The sequence below is a fragment of the Homo sapiens genome, chromosome 2 (assembly GCF_000001405.40).
Source record: "Homo sapiens chromosome 2, GRCh38.p14 Primary Assembly".
Lineage (NCBI taxonomy): Eukaryota > Metazoa > Chordata > Mammalia > Primates > Hominidae > Homo > Homo sapiens.
In genome coordinates, this window is record NC_000002.12 from 168,546,765 (window position 1) to 168,573,026 (window position 26,262).

Sequence of the window (26,262 nt, forward strand, 5' to 3'; positions counted from 1 at the left end):
TTTATTTCTTGAGCATTTAGTCTAAAACAACTTTTAATTTTTTTTGTTTTACACAGTTTTATTAGCAATGTCCCCACACCTTTGGGGCCCCATGCACTTCACCTGCTCCCCTTCAGCACCTCATTCACACAGCAAATGCGACCAGAAAGAAGGCTCAGTCCTCCCATTCCTCTTGACGTAGGCATTGGCTTAGGATAAAAACAGTTTTGTGGATGTTCATAAACACTTGCGACTTTTCATCTTGTCTGGGACATCATGCCCTTCGACATCCTTCATTACTCTTTATGAGAAACAAGCAAATAACCACAAAGCAGAGAATTTTAAGAAGCCATGAGGGATTGGGGCTGAATTTAGCACACTTTGATTATAGAGACAAAAATTGCCAAGTTTATGACTACGGGTGGTCAAAGCGCTCTCTCTGCATGGATAATTAGATGCTTAGTAAACGTTTTCTCACAGTAAAAATATGACTATTGCTCTGTGTAAGAAGAGTATAAGTTATATTATTTTGAAATCATTGTTTTATTTCTATCTTATACACTTATATTTTCATCTCATAGTCTTTCTAGCTTTGTCTCATTAGAACTTGAGGATTGGAGGGTTTAAATGTTTTAAAAGGATTTCTTTTTTAATGTTACTGCTGGGGGCTAACAGAGAGAAAAACGGTTAAGTCTGCCTTACAGTTACTGACAGGAGTGTTGACAATGTACACCCATGAAATCCTACCAACACTTTATTGGGATAATTGAGTAATGTGTAACTGGTGGCATTAAGAATCACATAGAAAGAATAAATTCTGACCTTCTACTTTTTTCTTTTTGTAATTTTTAGATTTGTAGCCAAACCGTGCGCCATAGCCCTCAACATTCAGGCCAATGGACCACAAATTGCTCCGCCCAATGCCATTCTGGAAAAGGTCTTCACTGCAATTACAAAGGTATGATTGTCCTTTCCTGGGGTATAGATTGTCCCCGGTCACCATTCTCAGCCTGCTGTCATTCAATTTGTCCCCTTCTGGGTTTGGAGAATCAACTTTTGCCTAGCCTTATGCTGGAGAACGTGTTGTCAGAAGGAATGCAAGCGTAGTAGAAGCGGAATGAAGATGGGCTTGTCTTAGACTTGGTAGTTTACGCTCAAGTTGATTTTTAGTAGCTCACCTGAGAATAGTCTTGACTAAATAATGATTAGTCTAATTCTGTGCCTCTTTTAATCACATGTGAAGCAAGATGTGACTAGAAGCAAGATGAGGGCTGGGAGGGACTTTGTGGAGGTGACTGGGTGGAGCTGAAGAATGTGATTTATGTGTGTGCGAAAAAAGGGACCTCTTGGCTTGTAGCATTGTCCATAGATTCTAGGAGCTGTGATAAGTAGACAAATGTAAACAAAAACAACAAGAAGGCATAACTGCAGGATAAAAGATTGTACCATGAAGTTATGAAGAAGGAGGGTCAGGAGAGTCTTAAGTGAAGAGATAGGTTCACTGTGGAGAATAAAAGGGAGGAGATACTCAATCTGGTGGGAGCTGAAGCCCAAACTAGGAGTGGGAGGAAGGGAGTGGGAGAGAAGTGGGTAGAAGAGACCACGTCTCCTGCCTCTGCCCCCATCCCAAGTTCAGATCTCCTTCAGAACAAAGAGGGAGGAGAAAGCTGGAAGTCAGAAACCCTCAGTTGAAGGCCATAGGAAAATAGAGCAAATTACCGAGTTTTTATATATCTTACCTTATTCTTGTTTGGACAAGAAAGAAGAAAAGATCAGGAGAAATACAACATTCTATGAGAAGTATTGTGTGTTCATATATTAAATGGCTCATTTTCTCCCTTTCATTTTTCTGGGAGAATTACCCAGGCTTCCAAGATGTGATTTGACAGAATTAAGCAAATTCTATTTCTTTTCTTGGTATTTGTGTTTCTAGCCATTTGTACTAGCTATCTCGTCTTACAACTATTAATTCAGATATCCAAACACTTTTATCTATTTTATGGTCTTCATTTCTTCCAAAATTCTCTAGAGTTTTTCCCTCTGTCCTTTTAAAAATGTTTTTCCCTCAAAAAATTAAGAAAGTACCAGGTGTTTTTCATATCTCTGCTAGGAAGAAGAGAAGAATGAATGGAATTTTAGGAAAAGCTCTTTTGATGGTTTTTATGGGGTAATTTCAGATTGCCAGGTTCCTGTCTGAAGGGACACATATCTTACAGTATTTAAAAGAAAAAAATGTAAAGAAAAAGCTTGCATTTTCATTTAGTGTATCAAATTACTTAAGTGAAACAACTTTTTCCCTCTTAAAAAAGCAGGTGTGTAGGGACTTCTCAGGTTCATTTGTAAGTGTGATTATAACATATTTGGAGTCTCTTTGTGAACTACTCTAAGTACATTAAACATACAGTATTCTAAATGAATAATAAAATGAGGTGTTTTTTTTTTAATTTTGTTTTTTGTTTTCTCCACATTTGATGCCTCTCCTTAAAAATCCTGCAGTGGATGTTTCACTTCCCTTGCCTTATGTTTTTTACAGTTACTGGAGAAATTTCCTCCATAAAGGTAATAAAAAGATTTTGCAGCCAGGTTGACTTTTCTAAAGAATACTTGCTTTGGCTGGGCGTGGTGGCTCACGCCTGTAATGCCAGCACTTTGGGAGGCTGAGGCGGGCAGATCATGAGGTCAAGAGATCGAGACCACCTTGGCCAACATGGTGAGACCCCATCTCTACTAAAAATACAAAAATTAGCCAGGCGTGGTGGCGGGTGCCTGTAGTCCCAGCTACTCGGGAGGCTGAGGCAGGAGAATGGCTTGAACCCAGGAGGCGGAGGTTGCAGTGAGCAGAGATCACGCCACTGCACTCCAGCCTGGCAATGGAGCAAGACTCTGTCTCAAAACAAACAAACAAACAAAAACAAATACTTGCTTCTAGCTAATTTGAATGATCATATTCTTTTAGTTTCCAAGGTGATTCCTTTGGAGGTTTTTACATGATTAAAACAGAAGCGTCATGTAAAATATAAATGCAGCAAAAGTTGGAACTGTTTTCCCTTGTATTCTTTGTAGTTCTCCGGTCTTAATTGTGATATGAAATGTAACCAATCAGTTGACTGGAATAGGAGGGGCAGGACTTGGGAGAGCTTGAACAAAGTGTGCGTTTGTGTGTGTGTGTGAATGATCATCCAGTATCCTGGCCTTACCACGGTTTGAGCTGCCTTTTTGTAGAAGGGCATGATTATAATCCTTCAAGTGTGAGAGAGGTACCCTTAAAATCTCTGTATATGACTGGCTACATAGTTTGTGGGGCCCAGTACAGAATGAAAATGTGGGACCCCTTGTTCAAAAAGCACAAAAAAAGTGCCATTAAGCATACAAAAACATAAAGCTTTTTCCTTCCTCCCTCAGTCTCTCTCTACTTGTCAAGGTGTTTTTTTGTTTGTTGTTTTTGGTTTTGAGACAAGGTCTCACTCTGTTGCCAAGGCTGGAGTCTAGTGGCATAACTGTAGCACACTGCAGCCTCAAACTCCTGGGCTCAAATGATCCTCTTGCTTCAGCCTCTCAAGTAGCTGGAACTACAGGTGTGGGCCACCACACCTGGCTAATGTAAAAAATTTTTTTGGAGAGATAGGGCCTCACTATGTTGCCCAGGCTGGTCTTGAACTCCGGGCTTCAAGCAATCCTCCTGCCTCAGCCTCCCAAAGTGTTGGGATTATAGCTGTGAGCCACCATGCCTGGTCAAGGTGTTTTTTATTTGTCGTGTAATGTCATGTTCCCTAATGGCATGGGGAGACTCTTGGAGAAAGTGCAGACCCTCACAGGTAGCTGGGGGCCCCACCCTGTGACTTAGTGTGCACATGACCCACCAGCTGCCAGGTTTCCCTTTTCTCCAGCCACTGGCTGACACACTGTACCTTGGTCAGGGGAGCAGAGAAATACAGTCAGGCCTCTCTCCAGGCCCACTGCCCCAACCCATGGGTGATGAAGGACCTTCAAGTGCATTGCAACCTCTATGCCCAGATTCAGGGCTACACAAAAGGCTCAGCCCTACCGAGTCGCCCACCACATGCACTGGGGTAGCTGCCTCCATCCTCTCTGAAACTCGATCCCCCACTCTCTGTGTTTGCACTCGGCCCTCCACTGGGGGCTGAAGGCAGCAGCAGTCACTAGGAAGTGGGGAGACAGGGAGGCTGGTGAGTGCTACAAGCCAGGGGATGAGGAACTGGGCAACCACACACACATTTGGCGGAAGTGGTGGGACTGTGTATGAGCCAAGAATCCAAGCTCCTGGCACATGCTCCTTTGCCCCATTGGACTTCATTATAATAAGCACAAATTCCATGATAAAACTGTTAAGAATTTCAAGATGGTGACTGCAGGGTTTCCAACCCCAAATGTGGACCCTTCTGAATGGGGGTCCCTGTGTGACAGCACAGGTCACATGCCCTATCTGGTTCTCCTTTGTGAAATTATTAATAGCTGAAAAATTTGAACCCTTATATATTCTGTAGCAGTCTTTCCTTTTGAAGTAACACCTGTCTTCCTGTTGCCTGTCTCTCTCTCCTCCCCCATCCCCTGTCTAAAATTTTATAAACACTTTATAGAAACTACTCCTATTGTAAATGTCAATTAGAAGTCTTGGTGTTTGAGCCAGTTACACCTGGATATTTGTGTTGGAACCTCAGCTCTGCTGCGTCCCGTCATTGTGGCCTTGGGTGAGTTTCTTAACGTCCCTAGGCTGCAGATAGCTCATATGTAAAAATCTTTGAATAACCGTCTCACAGGCGTTCATGAGGGTTAAATAATCATGAAGCTCATTTGTAAAAATCTTTGAATAACCATCTCACAGGCGTTCATGAGGGTTAAATAATCATGTAAATCATTCAGTAAATGATATAGCATCTTTTGTCTCATTGGTTCCCATATTTTGATTTGCATTTAAGATTACCTGAGAGTTAAAATGTAGAGTGTTACGTCATGTTTCTATAGATTCTCCTCAACTGTATTGGAATGGGACCAAAAATTCTACAATTACGGATTGTCAGACCCATTCAAATGAACAGAATGATTATTTCTCTTTAGTGAATATTTTTGAGCTCGTGTTTCTTAACTGGTTATGTTGTTTCTTAACTGGTTATATTCAGAATTATCTGGGTAAATATGCTTTTAACTTTTGGGGATTCTCCTACCATATTATTTGTACATACCTATGATACTAACTACCTCACTTTTCTAATCAAATCAGTGCTTAAGCCATGGGGGTGAGAATATATGTCAGGTATAAAGCCAGGTTTTATGATCCAGGGAAATAATAAAATTAACTTTTGGTATGTTAGAGTAAATTTTAAAGTGATAGGCAGATTTCCTACAATTTGTTTTTCCTAATTCTCCTCAATAATCTATTTCCTTTCATTTTTATTTTATACTTTCCTTCTTTGCCTCCCAGTACTGGTTAAGATTAATGTTATTAATATTAACCTAGGTGTTTGTAATATATAAATGTTTATGTGAGTCTCCATTATTCATTTCTTTGCCTGGAAATCTTTCAAAAAAACTTACGGAGAATAATAAGGAAAGAACAATAAGAAACCCCCACCCTACATACAGAGTATACACACACACACACACACACACACACACACACACACACACACTACACACACAAACACAGAGAAAGAAAAAATGAAAGAAAATCTCACAAATGTCTTATTTGGCAAATTAGGAGATGCATATCTCTAGATTTCAAAACATATAAAGGCTACCTAGATTGGGCAGAAACCAAGTATGAGGAAGTGAAAAGCATGAAGTGTGTCTGGAGGGCCGTGTGGGGGTGGGTGTCAGGAAAGCCAGCACAAAAGCACTTCTCAAGAGTTGAGGAGACAAAAGAACCACCCACTGTTTGCAACAATAGGTGCAGGAACAGGTGAGCCAGGCTGGCAAGAGTGGAGGAGGGACACATAAAGCCACGTGGAGGGTATGTTTTCAGGAGTCCATCTCCCTTCATGGCAGCCAGACTGGAAGAGCATCCTTCCTGCTCCCCACACTGGAAGTAGCAGGTCAAGAAAATTCAACTAATTCAAAGATGATTAATAAAGAAGCAACTCACACAATATCAAAGACAATAAAAAGAAAGTATAGCAACTCCTGTTAACAAAATTTTCACTAGAATAATGAGGCTAAAGAGGCAAATGAAAACTGTGATTAAATATTTTACCATAAATTTAAAAAAATGAAGCAGTAACTCTGTGAAGGAAGATCACAGAGGAAATATAAGAACTAAAGAAAGAAATGGTTGGTCAACAAGAGGAGGTGGAATGTGAGCTGGTAGAGTTCAGAGAAAAGTACCAAATCCATCACAGAAAAAAAGACAAAATTGGGAAGAAGGCAGGAAACACTAGTCACTGCAGAAAACTCAGCAAAGAATATGGAAGATAGAAAGAATAAAACTGAATTAAATGAAAGAAACCAAAAAGAGCTACAAAATGGATATATAGGCCAAGCAGATCCAGCATCTCTGTAATAGGAATCCCTTAAGGAAAAGCAAAATAAAACAATGAATTAAAACAACTTCTGAGATATAATTCAAGATTTTTTCCTAAGATAAATGGAGGTTTATTTTAATATGTTAATAAAAATATAGTGAAAATGGGCCCAGAAAGTTCAACACTAAAACTTAACATTGTTAAAGTTGCTGGACTTGATAAGTAAAGAAATACTTCACTGAGCAGCTGGGCAAAAAATCAGATCTCTTTTTTTAGGGAAAATGTTATGTGATTGTAGGCCTTTCTATAATAACATTTTCAATATTCCCAAGGAAAATGTGAACTAAGAATTTTATATCTAGCCAAATTGTTTTTACTCTGTAAAGGTTATAGACATCATGTTAGACATCTTTGAACATGAAAAAATTTAGGGATATTATTCCATGAGTCTTTCTTGAGGAGACTCTATTAAATCATTAATTTTAGCTGACCAAGAGATCACTTGGAATGTTTGTAAGTTTTGAATATATTTAAACTGTAGTACTAAGAAAGAAATCTAAGGAATGGTGACAGACAGAATGTTAATGTTCTAGGTTCTCACAGTGTAGAAATGATACAGCAATAACTGAGTAGAAGGGGAAGAAGGTGGGAGGCAGAATCAGTTCACTGATTGCATGATCTCTAAGAGGGGAGTCAAAGCATATCAGTGAAAGCTGGCAAATCATTACAAGTATACGCATATTTAATAGTACCAGAGTAAATGCTAAGAAAGATAATATTATTGACTATTGTAGTATTGGGTGGTGGAGGAGAAGGAAATAAGGCTACTTTAATAAGGTGGAGGAAATAAGGCTACTTTAAATATTGCTCATTTGAATTATTAGAGATGGAAAAGAAAGAGTCATATGGATAACCACTAGAACAAAAATTACTCCCAAAAGGAAAAAAAAAATGTAGTGAAATGTTTTTTAAAATCATCAAAATGGAAAGTAGAACATAATTAGAAAGAATAAACTTATAATCATATTAATACACATAAATGGACTTAATTCATCTAATAAAAACTAATTCAGGCTTTGGTTATTGGTATGGGTCGAATTATTTTCTTCCCCAAAATGTATACATTGAAGTCTTGATCCCTAGTACCTCAGAATGTAACCTTATTTGGAGATAGGATCTTTACAAAGGTAAATTAGTCAAAATGGGATTATTATGGTGGGTCCTAATCCAATATGCCGGGTGTCCATATACAAACGGGACAATTGGACACAGAGATAGGCATGAGGGAAGATGCTGTGAAGAAACACAGGGAAAAGACAGCCATCTGCAAGCCAAGGAGAGAGGCCTGGTACAGATTTTTACCTCACATCCTTCAGAAGGAGCAAACCATTCAACACCTTCATCTGGGACTTAACAGCCTCCAGAACCATGAGACTATACACTTCTGTTGTTCAGGGAACTTTGTTACAGCAGCCATAGAAAAACAATGCAGTCATGAAAAAAGTATGTGAGGAGCACCTTAAGACAAAGTAGTAATAAATGTTGAAAATAAGAGCATAGGTGAAGGTATACAGGCACGTATAAATAACAAAGTAGGATTTCTAAAAGCATTAAATGAAAGGAAGAATTGACTTTTTATTGTCAGAGGATACAATTCATGATGAAGATAAAATAGTTATGAATCATATATGTATTAAATATTAGTGTGTCTGTATATTCATAAAAAGGAATTGAAGAAAAAATGGAAACACAATAGAAAGAAATTCTGATTTACCTCTGAGGCGTGATAGAGTCAGTGAGAAAATATAAAATAGAATATAGAAATTCTAAGGAGCATAATTAGGAAGATCTAAGGGGGTACATTTATAATCCTATATTCTGAATGTAGAGACTGTACTTTCTTTTCAAGTAGCTATTAAATACTTACAAAAATTGATGCTGTATTATGTTAAAAAACTATAATTTTTAAAAATTAGGCACGATTTAATACCAGAAATTAGAAAACAGAAAAATCAGAAAACAAAACCTCTTCCTCCTGAAAATTTATAAATACTGTCTTATTAACTCTTGGGTAAAATTGAAATTTCAGAATATTTAGAAAACATTGGTAATGAAAGTACTACCTTTATGTGCTATGCTGCAAAAGTGCTCATTGAAAACTCATACAGATATGAAAAAAATAGCCATTTGGTTAAACATTAGAACAAGAACAACAAAATGAATGGAGATAAGCAGAAGGAAGAAAGTAGTAACGATAAGCTAAAATCAATGAGTTAGCAAAACTATAACTATAATTTTAACTTATATAAAAAAATTAATCCCCAAATCCTACATTTATTTATTTTTGTTTTACCAAAGGCAGCTAAATCGACTAAGAAAAAAAAAGCAAGCACAAATAAACGTTATGATCAATAACCACAGAAACAGGAAAATTAAGAGAGTGGGGCAGATGTAATAGAAAAACTTGACTAAAAAATTTATTCTAGGAAAGTATAATTGACTCTGTGTGTGTGTGTGTGTGTGTGTGTGTGTGTGTGTGTGTGTGTATGTAAAGATCAAATTAAAAGAACTAAACTGCAAAAAAGTACCAGGCTCAGATGCTCTCACAAAAGATTTTGTTTTTCATTAACCCAAAGTGTTTATTGAACATGTAGGTATATATTTTTTTCTTTGCCCAGGTGATTAGCATTTTAAAGGTATGAAGGCCTAAATTCATACCTATAATATCAAAAATTATATGTGCTTTCTCTCCTTGTTTATTGTGAATATTTAAGATGTACAATACAATGTTTCAGTATATTTACACATGGTGACATGGTTACTATAGTCAAGCAAATCAATATGTCATCTCATAAAAAATTCTAACATACTCTTAACAGGAGATAATTCTCTTAAACTGTATCAAAGCATAGAAAATTAAGAAACCCATCCAGCTCTCTTTTAATGTAACAATAAGACATTAACATCAATGCCTGACAAAAATTTCAATAAAAAACAAAAGCAAGACTAGAGACCAAATTTTGTTGTTAATATTGATAAAGAAATCCTAAATAAAAAATTAGTGAACTGAACCTAGTAACACATTAAAAGAATTGTTTATAATTGGATATAAAAATCTATATAATTCATTTTATTAGTAGATCTAACGAGAAAAATACATCACACTCCATGGATGCTGAAACCTGACATCTTTTTGATTAAAATAAATTGTCTAAGTGGGGATAGGTGGTTTCTGCTACATGACAGATGTATTTGTATCATAGTCCCAAAACTTGCCCCTTACTTTCTATATCTATATTTCTGTATTGTGCCAAATTTTACATTGAACTAGCAAGAGAAAGAAAATAAAGTCATAAAAATTGGAAAGTAGGTGACAAAACTATTGCTATTGTGAAGAATTATTCATACTTCATAAAGAAGTATTTATTGAGTCTTGCTATAATCTAGGAATCAGTGAAAAAGAATACTAAAAATTTATTTTGTTTGTGGAGCCTACATTTCAGTAATATGCTATTATATTATTATGTACCTGAAAAATGAAGGGAATCTTGTGAAAAACTACCACAGATATAAAATTTTAGTACAAAGTTAATAACCAGAAACCAATAGTTTACATATATAAAAGCAAACAATAAGCATTAAAAGATCTAAGAGGCTGGGCATGGTGCTTCACACCTGTAATCTCAGCACTTTAGGAGGCTGAGGTGGGAAGACCGCTTGAGTCCAGGAGTTTGAGACCAGCCCAGGCAACATGGTGAAACCTTGTCTCTACAAAAAAAAAAAAAAAAAAAAAAAAAAAAAAGGCATGTTGTTGCACACCTGTAGTTCCAGCTACCTGGAAGGCTAAGGTGGGAGGATCACCTGAGCATGGAGAGATCCTGGCTGCAGTGAGCCGTGATGGCGCCACTGTACCCAGCCTGGGCAAGAGAGTTAGACCCTATCTCAAAAAATAAAATAAATAATAAAAGATTAAGAAAGTACCTTATTCTCAGTAGAAACCTAAAAGAATAATATAGCTAGGAATAAACATAGCAAGGTATGTGCAAGACCTGGATGAGGAAAGTTTTCAAGCACTCTTGAAGGACACAAAAGACAAATTAAATAAAGATGTTAATTCACCCTATGTTATGATCTTAATGAAATAGTATGATCTTCTTGAAAATACTAACAGGGTTCCTTGTGTGACCATTTGTTTATTTTGAAAATAGATAAGCTAATTCTGAAATTCATTTAGAAAAAGTATAAAGATTTCTGAGAAAACTAGCTGTATAGTACTGGTACTGGCGCATTAATAAATAGACCAATGGAAGAAAAGATTTGGATTTTTGATGGAAAAGATGAATGGTATATGAGTAGCCATCTGGAAACAAATAAAGTTAGATTCATTCCTCCTACTCAATACCAATATGTATTCCAAATGTACTAAAGATTTGAATATAAAAATCAAAACCCTACATTTATTAAAAGGAAACCTGGGAGAATCTTTTGAACATTGGGAATGAGGGAGGCTTTGCTAATTATGACTTCAAATGTAGAAACTATAACAGAAAAGATTGATAAATTCAAATATATTTTTATCAAATTTCTGGAAGTAAAACAAGCAAAAAACATCATAAGCAAATTCTAAAATGCAAATGACATGCTGGAAAAAAGTATGCAGCTTTTGGTACAGAGAAGGGTTTAATCACCCTAACATATGAAGATGCCTTACAAATCAACAAGGAGAATACCAAGGAATCATGAAAAAATAGGCAGTAGATATGAATATACTCTTCATAAAAAAATGGAAATACAGTTGATTTTTGAAACACATGATAAAATGCTTCTCTCATAAAAAGGAAATTGAAACTGAGATCCTGTTTTATGTATTAGACTGGAAAAAATGGAAACGTCTGATATCATAGTCTGTTGAAGAGGCTTTGGAAAATGGGCGCTCTTGCTTGTGAGTATAAATTGGTAAAATCACTAGTAAGAATAACTTTTCAATTTCAAAATTATATTACAAATGCATAGACCCCTTCGATCTACAACTTTCACTTTCAGGAACTTAGAGAGAAACATGTATAAAATGGCCCAGGTAAGGTTATTTATTGTAGCATTGTTTATAGAACAAGCTCAGAAGCTGCAAAATGTCCATTAATAGCAGAATGGATAAGTAAATTATGGTATATCTTTACAGCTCTACAAAAGAATAAGGGTGTTCTATATATAGTGAAAAGGAAATATTGCAATATACATTGTAAGGTAAAAAACCCAAAGCCCGGACAAATGTCTGTAGTATGCAACTATTTTTGTGACAAGGGGTGATATAATAATATATATTCAAGTTTGCTTATATTTGTGTAAATACTGGAAAGAAACTGATTTAGGCTGGGCGCGGTGGCTCACGCCTGTAATCCCAGCACTTTGGGAGGCCAAGGCGGGTGGATCACAAGGTCAGGAGATCGAGACCATCCTGGCTAACACAGTGAAACCCCGTCTCTACTAAAAATACAAAAAATTAGCAGGGTGTGGTGGCTGGCGCCTGTAGTCCCAGCTACTCTGGATGCTGAGGCAGGAGAATGGTGTGAACCCAGGAGGTGGAGCTTGCAGTGAGCAGAGATTGCACCACTGCACTCCAGCCTGGGCGACAGAGCAAGACTCTGTCACACACACAAAAAAGAAACTGATTTAATAATAACTATGGTTATCTGATAAGAAACTGATTTAATAATAACTGTGGTTATCTGACAAGAAGGGGAGAATAGGGATTGAAAGAGCCAGAACAAAGTTGGAAGGTGAAACTTTGGATAATTTTAAATTTTTGCACCATATGAATTTTTTCTTTATTAATAAACTAAGAAAATAAATTGAAATTAAAAATGAATTCCATTAGGATAATGGTGTAGCCAAGGTATATTGTAGGCAATGATTTTTCTCCTTCCCGTATTTTTGATTAAGAGAGACATCAAAGGTGAGTGTAGATGGTGTCATTACTACTACTAAAAAAAAAACCCCAAAAAACCCCAAAGTTGGCAAATAACGTTTATAGGCACAAGGTCAGTACATTTTGTACCCTACAGTGATTTGCTGTGTTTTCTGGGTGTGTGTCTGTTCTAGTCAGTTCTGACTGCTGTAACAGAATACTATCAACTGGGTGGCTTAAACAACAAATATTTATTTCTCACAGTTCTGGATGCTGGAAGTCTGAGATCAGCATGCAGATGTGGCTGACCTCTTGGTGAAGGTCCTCTTCCTGGTTGGCACATGGCCATCTTCTCTTGTAACCTCACATGGAACAGACTGAGAGAGACAGAGAGCATGCAAGCATGGGCAAGCTCTCTAGTGTCTCTTCTAATAACTTCTAATCTAATCCGAGAGGTTCACCCTCATGATCTCATTACCTCTCAAAGGCTCCAGCTTCTAATACCATCACAATGGGCATGTGGGTTTCAACATACAAATTTTGGGGAGCGCAGCATTCAGTCCATAGCACTGACCCCTTGAGCTGCTTGAGCTGCTTTTAGAAAGGTATCATATATATATATATATATATTTCACCCTTATTACTTGAAGTTTGGTCATTGTGCCTTCTCCTTACCCCTATTTTTCCTGATCACTTACATTAAAGCATTAGTATCAAATCAAAGAAAGATTAAATAAACATAGTTAATATTAAGCAAAGATATAATAAAGGAATGGAGGTCACGTGGCTTAGTTTTGTTGGGTAGTAGATCACCCTCATGTGATTGTTGGCTAGACATTCTCTAACACATTGAATAGAGGGGAGGGATAGTGTATTAGTCCATTTTCACACTGCTGATAAAGACAAACCTGAGAGTGGACAATTTACAACAAGAAGGAAATGTATTGGACTTACAGTTCCACATGGCTGGTGAGACTTCACAATCATGGCGGAAGGTGAAAGGCATGTCCCATATGGTGGCAGACAAAAGAGAACTTGTGCAGGGAAATTCCCCTTTTTAAAACCATCAGATCTTGTGAGACTTATTCACAATCATGAGAACAGCACAGGAAAGATCTGCCCCCATGATTTAGTACCTCCCCCGCTGGGTCCTGTGGGAATTCAAGATGAGATTTGGGTGGGGACATAGCCAAACCGTATCAGATGGGAAAGAGGAAAATTAACATTTACTGAGTTGTACATACAGTTTCACATTTGGTTCTTGTTGCAATATAATTTAGGTTGGTAAACAACCTTTTCTTTTTTACAGATGAGGAAACTGAGGCTCAGAGAGGTCAATGGAGTGAGGAATTGAACAAGTGCCTATCATTTCAGGGCCATCTCTTGCCGCTTCACCAAGTGTACTTTTTTCAAGTAATGCATAGTCTTAGTAAAAGACTCGATGTGGGATACAGTTAAAAAGGGATGACCAAGAAAACGAATAGAAGAGGAATGTGTGAAAAATGGGGACAAAGGATATGAGAAGGGGAAGAAAGATAAACTGTGTTTGATAAAAATTGTACCTTAGGCTTAAATGAGGCACTTTAGGATTTTTTTCCATGCTTTTTGTCTCTACTACATTATCCTGATATGTGATGATTGGGTAGCATTTGTTGTTGTTGTTGTTGTTGAGAAAGTGAGATATTTGAATGATACCTCTTTGCAAATTTACCTTCAATGGACTCCCTTCCTTTGAAGGCTGATGAGGCTGACTCAGTTTGTTGGATGTTCCATTGAATCTTTGTTGCCCTTAGGGAAGCACATTGCTGATGAGGAGAAGTGCAAGCATTAGAGCAAGATTCATGTTTCTAAATGTTGTTTCATGAGTAACTTCTTTTGTCCTAGTGGTTATTTTTGTTCATGCTGCTAGTGGAAGGCCTCGGTCCTCAGAGGTAAATATAGAAATCTCAGTAGCAGATAGTAAACAATAGGGGGAAAAAAACCTCTCAGATATAGACAAGGGCAGATCTGTTTATAGTGAAAATGAAAATGGATTGAAAATTATTTTTCTGGTACCTTGTTTCATAGCATCCTGATGAAAAGAGATTGGAAGGCCTCTCCAAGCAACTGGACTGGGATGTTCGAAGCATTCAGCGCTGGTTTCGACAAAGACGCAATCAGGAGAAGCCAAGCACGCTGACGAGGTTCTGTGAGAGCATGTAAGTTGCTGTTTTTCTTTTTGAAAGAAAAGACCTAAGTACTCATGCCAACCCTGAGGTGAAAAATAAAAGATCTGTGCAGGCTTCAGCAGCCCTTAAAAAGCTGCAATCTGGTGGGAAAATAGTTCAGGAAAAACACAGGAAACAGTAGTTTGTAAGAATTTGTGACTTCCCCTTTGGATACAGTAAATAAATTTCACTTCTTAATGGAGTTTCTACAAAGTAAGCATATTATAAAAGGATCTACAATGGTCTTTTTAATCAGTCATCTTTGAAATACAGCATTAAAAGTTGTTACTTTTATAGATGTGGGTAGTTTGAATTTTAGTAAAGGCAAAGGCAACTTAGGTTCTTCCTACTAATAAAAACTGAGATATTAGGATATATTATCAGAGGGTCGTGACAATCTTCTGTATTCCTGGAGATTTAAGAAATGGCTCTATTATATTTCTGGGTGAGTTTAATGAAGCATTGCTTGAAGTTGGGGGATGGAATTGAAGTCTCTTCCATCTCTGAAATGTGAACTTTATATAGTGTATAAATTATATATCAATAAGGCTGTTAAATATATTAAAGGACCCACAGAGAGCTCTTCCAGCACAGTGATATTTTGAAGTAGTGATACTTCATGCACTTACCTATAGGAAAACCAGAGAAAAATACATTGAAACATTGAGAACATCCCCAAGAAAGGGAAGACGTGCCTGGAGAGTCATTACCCTATGTGGTCTTCATCTTTTGGGTGTAACTCTTCCTATGTCTTCTAACAGTCCCTCAATTTCTTCTTTCGGGAGCTGTTTCCTGACGTCTGGTCATTTAAACAGTAGTGCTTTCGGTGTAACTCTCTTAGTTGCAGGCCCTTTCTCTTTGGGGTTGGAGCTGCATTTTCAGCTTTGGCTTTCAATTATGTGAAAAAAGTGTTTCAGTGTGAAGGGGTGACCTTCCCCTCCACACCTGTGGGTATTTCTAGTCGGGTGGGATGAGAGACTGAGAAAAGAAAGAAGACACAAAGTATAGAGAAACAACAGTGGGCCCAGGGGACCGGCACTCAGCACACCAAGGACCTGCACTGGCACCAGCCTCTGAGTTCCCTCAGTTTTTATTGATTATTATTTTCATGATTTCAGTAAAAAGGAATGTAGTAGGAGAGCAGGGTGATAATAAGGAGAAGGTCAGCAAAAAACATGTGAGCAAAAGAATCTATGTTAGAATTAAGTTCAAGGGAAGGTACTATGACTGGACATGCACGTAAGCCAGATTTATGTTTCTCTCCACCCAAACATCTCAGTGGAGTAAAGAATAACAAGGCAGCATTGCTGCAAACATGTCTCGCCTCCCACCATAGGGCAGCTTTTCTCCTATCTCAGAATTGAACAAATGTATAGTCGGGTTTTATACTGAGACATTCAGTTCCCAGGGGCAGGCAGGAGACAGTGGCCTTCCTGTATCTCCAACCTGGTGGATACAATCAGCAAAGCCCTCTCAATAAATGAACTTACTGGCAGTTTATGGGAGAAGGATTTATGTATCTGGGCTCTTGGTCAAAAGCCACAGTTGCTTCCCAGCTTGGCCCTGCCATATATCCAAAGGGCCTGGGCTCTGGTTTTGAGCCACGAGTCTGAGCAAGGGTGAAGTTGGGTCTCAGCACATGTCTACATGCTGAAAGTCATGTGCCATCTTTCCCTCCTCTGACTAACTTCTTTGGTGACTTGGTGCCAGCCCCTACTATGCTGAGTCTACTCCAGTTTCTCTCAAATACTATTGTATTTGAGATTTTAAGATAAGCATCAGTCACCTGGGGATCTTGTTAAAATGCGGAATCTGATGTACTTAGTCTGGGATGGCAGCATTTTTAACAAGTTTCTACATGATGCTGGTGCCATTGGTCTATAGGTCACACTTTGTGTAGCAAGTACTAACATTAGAGCAGTGTCTATCTCTTCTCCATGAATTCAGCAGGTCATTATGTGCATACCACAATAAATAAGACAGTCATAGTTATGATCAATTAAAAATGCTTCTAAATGATTGCTAGTGGTATGGCAATGTGGAGGCACAATGATGGGGAAGAGATGGTGCATAAAATAACATCATTTCTTCCCTCAAGAAATTTGTAATAGTGTTATGGAAATAAGACATAATATCTGAGTATGTGTAGGTCAAAGATAGATATTAGAAAATAACCAGATATGGGGCCAGGTGCAGTGGCTCACGCCTGTAATCCCAGCACTTTTGGAGGCCGAGGCGGGCGGATCATGAGGTCAGGAGATCGAGACCATCCTGGCTAAAATGGTGAAACCCCGTCTCTACTAAAAATACAAAAAATTAGCCAGATGTGGTGGCAGGCGCCTGCAGTCCCAGCTACTCGGGAGGCTGAGGCAGGAGAATGGCATGAACCCGGGAGGTGGAGCTTGCAGTGAGCCAAGATTGCACCACTGCACTCCAGCTTGGGCGACAGAGCAAGACTCCATCTCAAAAAAAGAAAATAACCAGATATGTGTGTTGTAGGATTGATATGGATAGTCAGTAAAGATTAAAGGGAAAGGATCAACTGTAGGTTGGGGTGCACGGGGGGTTTGCTGGGATTAGAACTGGGTCAATGTCAGTGGCCTTTCATCTTTCTGTTGTATGATATAGTATTGATGAAGTTTTGTTTTGAAACTCTCTTCTTCCTTGGTTTCTGAGTTGCCACTAGATTCTCCTGCCTTTCCAAGGTCTTTTGTTTGCATCATTTATTCTGTGTTTGCTGTGTGGTCTTTAATGTGTTAATGACACTCCAGATTTAGTCTTCAATCTCATTTTTCCCTTGCCCTACCTTCCATTCTGTGTGTTAAAATCATTTCCTCTCACCAGTTTCTTCCAAAGCCATGTGTACAGTGCAGATGTTTCTTCTAAGGCATCGTTCTGCGGGCTCCAACTGGCAGTTCTAATTTGCTTCCACTCCTGACTTTATTTTTCCTATTGTTTTTATGCTTCCGTTTTGTCATAGGCTGGAAACTCAAGTCAATCAGCCACTGAGTTCTATTAATTCTTTGTAAATTCGCCATTATAGCCCAATATGCTTTCATATGTCTCCTTATTTTTTTTATCTTGCATACACATAGACATTTTGTTTGCTACCAAAAATCCCAAATTATTTTTCTAAAATACTACTATCCCCATGTTGTGACACTTTAAAACTTTGGTGATTTTAAGGCAACTATAGGATAAATATTAGGTCCCTGAGCCTGATAACTAGAATCTGTCTTTTGCTTGTTTAATGTCAGTCACCCAAATGACATCTTCCTTCTAGAGGGTTGTGTTTTTACTGTCTGTGCCTTCTTCCTTCCTGCCTTGTGTATGGTGTTCCAGGCCAGGAACTTCCTCTGCCTTACCCATTTATCCCCTCACCATTCTTCAAATCCCAGGCCCTCTCTGAAGTGTGGCCTGACTATTGGGGCTGGAGTGAGCACAGCTACCCCTGCATCCTGAGAGTACTAGGAATTTAACCCTGAATCACATGCTGCCTTATGTGGTTACTTAACTTGCCTATCTATTTCAATTCCAATTCTGTGTTGCTTGAAGACCACAGGGTCACATCTTGTTCTTTCATTTCTCAACAGGACTCTGCCAAATAAATAATTTGTTATGACTGTGTGTTAAAATGGCATTGTTTTGGAAAGAGTTGCTGATCACATTTGTCACTTTGCCCCTATAAATGAGTGCCTAATATATACTGCCTTAGCATAAAATTTGTCTAGGAAAATTACCTGACTATGGAAAGCTCCATGACAATTTTAAAGACAGAAATTCAGAGGAAAGAATGGGATGGCAAAGGAGAACATTTAGAGAACACCGTGAGGGATAAAGTAGAATTATAGTGGTCTGTGTATGCAAATGTGTGTGTCATACTTACTTACCTATATAAAAAAAGATCTAGAATAGTTGTTATTAACTAAGGATGCATTTCGCAATCACCTAGTGATGTTTTCAAAATACACGTGCCCGAGCCCCATCCCAGGGTGTCAGGATGATGACTCAGGTGGAGTCTGAACATGTATATCATGGAAAAAAATGCCCCAAGTGCTTATGACACACATCCCTGGTTAAGAAGAAAGACAGTTGCTGTTCAGAAATACTAAAAGGTGAAATTAGAAAACGAGAACACAAATTTGGAGCTCGTTGCCTGAGGGTCAAAATGTAAAGGATCTATATAATTTTTCTATTATATAAGTTCCTATTTTTCAAAATATAGAATTCCTTCAGGATAATTGTATTTCATCTTTCAGCAGTGTGGAATAGCACCAGTATGCAAGCCAAACTGTGCTTGTAAGCATCTGCAGGCATGTCCAATTTCTGGCACACACATTACATGCAGATGGAATGAGTAGAAGCTGTTTAGCGAGTAAAATGCTAATACATTGACATGATTTTTTTTCTCTTGCTTGAAGTCAGTCATTCACAGTCATGTCAGTTTTGATGAATACTTCTTCCAGAAGCATTCAGATTCTTATTGGCAACTGAAATAGAGAATTTCAAGAGAGAATGAAGAATTTATAAAAATGAGATGTCATGTGAGACATTTGAGAAGCAACTGGTTCCGAATGGAAGCAGGTGCCGGTTGGGATTATGCCTTTGGGCTGGGGAAGCTGTATCATCCTTCTCTGACAATTGCATCCAAGTGGTGGGTTTTTATCACTCAGGATAATATAAAATAAATAAGATATTAAATATATTTGCTGGATGTAACAGAAGAAGCAGAGATAAGATGTCAGAATAAATGGCATTCCTTTCATTTGGACCCTGCCTGTGCTCATCATTTTTGAGTATCGTGCAGTACATTTCATAGCACAGGTCTGGGAGGAAATATAATACAGGGCTTTTATTTAAGCAGTCTCAAAGATTGGAAAGATGAATCTCCCATATGTAATCTGAAAATCTACTCAGTGATTTGAATTGGAGCTTACTCCCTATGCTGCTGAAGTTACGGAGTTTGTTGAGTAAGATGACAGCTTAAGATTCCCTTTTCTTTAGGAATTCCATTTTAGAATTGATACTGATTAAAACTTTCCCCCAATGCTGCCATATTTGTATGCTTCTGTATAGTGGCAGCAGACTCATCAAAACCTGGGACCCTTTCGAAACTGTGATTATTTCTGCAAAGAAGCCCTGTGATTTTTCTTAGTTTGTGATTCCATTGAACACGAGCTAATTCATCATTGAAAAATGAATGGGTTAACCAATTGCCTTCATGCTACTAACTTGGTCACCTTGAATCTAAATAGCAGTTTTTACAGCTGTTTATAAATTATCAGTGCTATCTTGTGACCTTCATGGAAAGTGGAGCCTAATAATTGATGACAGGGGAAGGGAAGTGAGGTCATATAGGAAACAAGCAGTTGAGTCTCTTATATTCCTTTATTTCAGATCAGTCTTTTATCTGAGGAAATAGTATGGGGAATATGTTCAACATGTTTTCATAAACAGCCACCTACTTGCAAAAAAAAAAAAACCCTGAATATTTGTAAACCATTTCCATATATTCCATACTCTGGTGATGGACAAAGTTTTGCCAGAGAGAAAATTCAATTTTGATTATTTTCTCTATCAGACCATGACATGAGCATCAGTTACAAAATTTACTGCCAAAATTCTCCTCATAATGAATGCAGTTTTTGAAGGGGGGAATAAGAAACTATTATCTTCTAGAGAAATGGCATCTTTGTTTTTTCAGTACTAGGATACATGATCAGCAATGTGTAAATGCTGATTATAAGTCTGGGGAAAAAATCATAAGATTGGTGGACAGTCTCTAGTTCTTGAAAAGTACAGGGTTGAGCTGTTTTGTTTCTGTTGTGGTGATAGTTGTGGTTATTTTCCATTAATACAAAACAGTCCCTGGTTTGGAGAACAACTTCTGTAATTCAAAGTACATTGTTATAGTCCAAGTCACTGCTCAGTGAATGTCTTGGTGTGCAAGACTATTACCTTAAACAGTTTTATATCTGTGGGTTGTATTCAGGTCAGTTTTAGCTTTGGGACAGAGGTCAGCAAACTTTTCCTATAAATGGCCATGAAATAAATATTTTAGATCATATGGACTTTGTTGCAATTACAATTCTGCTGCAGCATAAAAGCAGCCAGAGATGATGCAAATGTGCATGGCTGTGTTCCAGTAAAAGTGTATTTATGGATACTGAAATTTGAATATGTCATTTTCATGTGTTGTAAAGTATTATCTTTAAAAAATACATTACAAAAAATAAAAGCTATTCTTAACCCATGGGCCATACAAAAACAGATGGCAGGCTGGATTTGGCCCTCTAGCCATAGTTTGCAGAACCCTGCTTTAGGGTTATAATACTATTTGTGGTTCTTTCAGAGTTTCAAGGAAGAGAATATCGTCTCCTAGTGCTAGGCACAGTCATCCATTTCTCAGAGTTTTGCCATTTAATAGAAAAATGTGAATAGTTCTGTAATTGGTGTGCCTGTCTCCAGTATTCCTGGGATATGGTGCCTTGATGGTGTGCAGTTTCATTTAGCCTAGCCAGGCACTCTTCAAAGCTGTTAGTATCCTCAAGGCAGCATTGCTTTCATTACAGAAATTCTGAAGATTGATGAACCGGACTATGGACAGTCTGCTCTTTTGCCTCGAGTAAGCCTTTGAAACCTTGTCCCCCTCGTTCTATTCTAGACCTACCATCTGTGGCCGGTGAACTCAGGTTTTCCATTTAGAACAAGCCTCACACATTCCTTGATGGCATATGGCTAGGCCTCTAATGCATGTGTGTTGGCTAATTAAGGAAAAGAGATTTTTGCTAAAAATACAAGACAGGCCATACCTTGGTCAGGCTGGCTGCACATTAGCTACTGCTGTGGTCTGCCTACATTTGAGTTGTCAGTTGTTATGTAAAGTCTAAATTTCTAAAGGCTTTTTAAATAATATTTTTTTCCAATAATTTTGTTCAACATGGAATTGGATGGTAATAAAGAGGACAGAATGTAGAGGAATAACTGAATTTATTAAGGCATCATATTATTATTTAACCCAGTCTGTTATTTTTGAACCTATGTACTATTTCTTGTTGTTGCTTAATGTATTTTAAAAGTTATTTGTTTCTGATTCAGAGCAGAATCATGCAAATCCTTATAATTGATTTTGATTGTAGAGGATTTATAAAAGTCTACATAATGTTCATACAGAATTGTAGGGGGAAAGACTTCAAAGCATACCATCCAGAAATACATCCTTTATCATTTACTGCTTATACAGTGTCGTATTTTATACAGGTGCCCACACTAATGCTTACACATCATGTGTGTCTGTACTTGGCACCTGCCCTTCTTGAAATGTTTTTAATAGAACCAGCCTCATCAGAGTGCCTGAAGACGGCTGTAGAAAGGTTATGTTTTATGCTTCATCTTCAGGATCTGTAAGTCATTGACCTGTGGGCAGTAGTATAGTCACTTGTGCTGTCATATGACATATGCTGCATTCCTAAAAATGGCCACACCATGCAAAATCGCACAACAAAAGAAAATAACTTAGGGTTTGTGAGAAGAATGGGTTAGGGACACAACACTCAGAAATTTCATCAGTGACACTTTGAAAATAAGCTAGGAACCTAATAAAAACAGGAGCAGTTTTATACACATTAAATGGCTAAGAAATACATAGCTACTACAATAAATACGGCACTTGACCTTGAAATGGACCTAACATTTGCTTGTAGTGGCTGTTGCTGTGTTAGCTCAGACTGTCATAACAAAATACCGCAGACTGTGTGGCTTAACAGAAATGTATTTTCTCATAGTTCTGGAGGCTAAAAGTCCCAGGTGACATAAGTTTGGTTTCTCCAGGGCCTTCTTTCCCTGGCCTTTCCACCGTGTGTGCATATCCCTGGTGTGTCTTCCTCTTCTTATAAGAACACCAATCATATTGGAATAGAGTCCTACCCTTATGACCTAATTTAACCTGAATTACCTTATTAACAGCCTCATCTCCCAAGGCAGTCACATTGGGAGGTAGGGCTTCAACGTATGTGTTCTGGGGGCACACAATTCAGTCTGTAACAATGTCAGAAGGGTGGCAGTGAGTTACTGTGAAGTGCTGGAAGGAGGAAGATCTGAAATCAGAGGGAAAGTTGCAATGCCGGATGCGTGTGGCTCATAACTGGTGTGACTAAGGTAGCTTGGACATATTTGAAGAGAGTGTGAATGTGTGTGTGCGCGTGCACACGCGTGTGTGCATATATACTCCTAGGCCATTCAGTTCAGCCTGGTTCAGTTCTCTGTGTTCACCTAGTATTTCTGGCAGACAAAATCAGATATAAGCAAATATGAAATCCGTGTTAGGCTCACATTAGAAGACATTCACACTTTTACCACAAGCCTGGTAGCAGGACCAGTGGGTCAGTATGGTGGTGAAGGCAGTGGGCTGTGGAGCCTGGGAGTCTGCATTGGAGTCTTCTCTCTGATAAAAACCTCTCGGGTATTTGGGAGGGTTGCTGGCCACTGGATTCGTAAAATGGGCACATTAATAGTGTCTGCTTCATAGGGTTGTTGTGAAGACTAGATGAATTAATATATATAAATAAAGTGTTTAGAAAGATGTCTTGCCCATGGTATGGGGGTAGTGAGTGTCAGCTGCCTGAAGGTTGTCGGTTTCTGTTGTTACTCACTTTGGGGTATCAGGAGCAGCAGCAAATAGCTATTAGTCTGTCACAGCCATGCCCTGGCCACATGGCTTCCTCAGAGCCACAAGCATGCTACCTAAGAGAGGTGGCTCTGATGTCGATCATTTTGAGGAGGAGAGATCCAAGAAGATGCAAGGAGAGCAGATTCTCAATTTAGGACGAAGCTCTGATTCTGTGGAACCCTAAGGAGGCGGAATCCATGTGGATTCACAGGACTATCAACTTGGGCATTACTCACGCACAAGAAAAAGATGAAAAACCAACGCGAGTTCAGAGCCTCAGCACCTTTGGCTTGCTACTGTGTAGCGATGTGACAGAAGTGGATGAAGAAAGGTGTCCTACTTCAGTAGGGAGTGATGCCCACTGTGCCTCCAGAAGCCAGGACTTTTGAAGCACCACATGAGAAATGTCAGAATACACAGTGAATGTCTTTGAACTTCAGAGATTTTAAATTTACCCAGGTGATTCTGAAGAGGACACGGCTTGCCTGCACCAGGAGGGACAGAGGAACAAAGCCTGGTCCTCTGTGGTGCTGGCTTTAGTAAAGCCACCTCTGCTGGGGCCTGAACAGTCTGATCAGCCTTAGGAGGTCAGCGTGACTTCTGGGTACAGGAGTTTGCTCTTAAATGTAATATTTATTGGTTACCTCCTGTGTGCAGGAGAAGTACAAGAGGCAACTGATCTTGAACAAATTTGAGAGTGGGAATCGAATCTACCTGGTTCATGGTCTGGCTCAAGCTCTGTTACCCCTAGCAAGTCTTTTAATGTTGCCAAGCCCCAGATTTTTCTTCTGTGAAAGGAGAATAATAGCTACTATTTATAAAGTCATTTGGGATTAAGTGAGGGGATGTTTGTCTAATGTGCATCTCTCAGTGCTTGGTTCCCTTTCAAATGTGGTTGCAAAGTTGAGTAAGCAACAATTTCTGACCTTGCAGAACTCACAGGGACAATTGATTCTGCGCATTGGTAAAGTTATTTAATATCTTACAGGGAGCCATCAATTGTAATACTCAAGCAAAGTGGTTTCCTTCTAGGGCCCCTTCCTTATGGCTCCAGTTATGGGTTATTCTGGGCCTTGTGTCTTACTTTGCCATCAAGAGAATTACATTTTAGATTGTTGAAAAGGAAGCACTCTGTTACTTCCTCTTGGGAATCCCGTCTGGCTTGCCCTCTCTTGCTCTCCTTCTCTTTCATGCTTCCTTCCTCCCTCCTTTGCAGTCACTTCCCATTGTTATAGGGGTAGGTGCCTTCTGCTTGGAGCTGGAGTGTTTGATTTCCTCCTGGCTATTCGCCTTGCGGTTATTAGCTCATGGTAACCACATCCTGGCAAGGATTAAAAGAATCTTCAACCATTACTAATTTGTCTATTTGTCCTGAAACTTGGCGCATTGCACATGGCTCCTGATATTCGAATATAACACCTAGGAATGTAAGGGTGAAGGAGTTTGTGCATAAGATGGTGGTAGTGGAGGATGGGCATTTGGACTAAGTAACAGGGTATCAAGCCATTTCTCAAGTTGGAATGATTTGAGCAGATTCCAATTGACTATTGAAAGTAGGTTTGTGAGGTTTATTTGTAGGCCTTCCCACATCCAAATTCATAATAAGCCCTCCACATGATAGGAAACTTAACTAAAAGCAATTGGAGCCAACTACTTTTATTCTATTTGATTTTTAAAATTTTTGTAGGTACATAAATGGGTATATGTATTTATGGGGTATGTGAGATATTTTGACATAGGCATGCCACATGTAATAATCAGATCACAGAGTAAATGGGGTATCCATCACCTCAAGCGTTTATCCTTTGCGTTACAAACAATCCAATTATACTCTTTTAATTATTTTTAAATTTACAATTCAGTTATTATTGACTGCAAGGTGAGCTGCTGGCAAATTACTGTAGACTTGGGCACTATTTCTTATATTGCCTATTTACAATGTCCTAGCAGTGGACAAGGGAGGCTGTTTACTGCTGTTAGGGTTCAACTGTGTAGAAAAGCTAGTGTACTGTTCCATGGAGGATATACTGTGATTGAGGGGATGTTGCAGCATTAAACACTTGGTACACCATGACACACAGGCCAAGGTTAACAGCAGGATTGGCATTAGAGGCTCAAGTCTTGGCCATATTCCTTAATTCTGCAAAGTTCTCTAACTCCTGTATGCCTTTAGCCACAGTTGTAATGAAGTTGCATATTTTCAGCTTACATATTAGTATATAATAGGTTTTCTTGCAGATGTAGTGGGCATTAATGCTGGCAGGAGACTTAGACCCTGAGAAGGGAGGGGAAAGAAGTATTTATTGAGGTATTTATACAGTTCAGTTGCTGTGATGGAGCCTTTACATTTAAATAACAATCCTTTGTAATATGTTAGATATTAAAAGTTCTTCTCACCCACAAATAAAGAGAAGTAAAGAGAGGTGGAATACCTGACCCAACACCACACAGCTACTAAGCAGCAGAGCTGGGATTTGTACCCAGCTGAAGCACAATGTTAGAGAAATTCAGTAATAATATAATATTTTACGTATATATATAATATTATGTATTATATAATAGAAAATAATGTATTATTTTACTGCCTGCAGAGCAAACATGGAAAGGGGGCAGTTTGGTCTTTTATTTGCTCATGACAGCCTCCTTTCTCTTTCCTTTCCACCTCCAACTTATGAAGGGCTGGAGTTAAATTTGTTGCTTTCTCCTTGCCACCCATATTGCACTTCTAGTTGTTCTCTACTAGAGCACTTGGAGACTTGCCGTGTTCGCTGTTTGCATCCATCTCTGCTGTTTGACCGTCAATACCTTGAGTTCTGGGACTGTGTCTTATTTATCTTTTCATCCCCACCACTCAGCACAATGTCTGGTGCTTTGTAAGGCCCCCCAAAATGTCCAGTGAATGAGTCAATTAACTGGACTTCAGGGATTGAAGTGAATCTCTAGGGACTAGAGGCCTGACTCTAATTAGAGAAAGCTTGAGTTTATTCTTTCAAATGGTCCTAGGGAAGACTGAGAAGAGGAAGGAGG

General features: G+C 38.5%; 1 protein-coding gene across 2 annotated transcripts in view, besides 3 other annotated features; it reads left to right on the forward strand.

Annotated features, from left to right (window-relative positions):
- Positions 1–26,262, forward strand: part of CERS6 (ceramide synthase 6) — a 318,863-nt gene that overhangs the window by 90,493 nt on the left and 202,108 nt on the right. For both annotated transcript variants that reach the window (NM_001256126.2, NM_203463.3), the window contains exons 2-3: positions 832–937; positions 14,428–14,558. In NM_001256126.2, coding sequence (NP_001243055.1) covers positions 832–937; positions 14,428–14,558 — 237 coding nt within the window. The remainder of the gene's footprint in view (positions 1–831; positions 938–14,427; positions 14,559–26,262) is intronic.
- Positions 3,410–3,981: an enhancer, noted in NCBI's record as "H3K27ac-H3K4me1 hESC enhancer chr2:169406684-169407255 (GRCh37/hg19 assembly coordinates)". NCBI's record gives its function as "activates a minimal SCP1, AML or CMV promoter by ChIP-STARR-seq in naive H9 embryonic stem cells {active_cell/tissue: H9 hESC(naive)}" and the evidence as "EXISTENCE:reporter gene assay evidence [ECO:0000049][PMID:30033119]".
- Positions 3,982–4,552: an enhancer, noted in NCBI's record as "H3K27ac-H3K4me1 hESC enhancer chr2:169407256-169407826 (GRCh37/hg19 assembly coordinates)". NCBI's record gives its function as "activates a minimal SCP1, AML or CMV promoter by ChIP-STARR-seq in naive H9 embryonic stem cells {active_cell/tissue: H9 hESC(naive)}" and the evidence as "EXISTENCE:reporter gene assay evidence [ECO:0000049][PMID:30033119]".
- Positions 15,315–15,364: an enhancer, noted in NCBI's record as "active region_16734". NCBI's record gives its function as "activates an Ori minimal core promoter by ATAC-STARR-seq in GM12878 lymphoblastoid cells {active_cell/tissue: GM12878}" and the evidence as "EXISTENCE:reporter gene assay evidence [ECO:0000049][PMID:35858748]".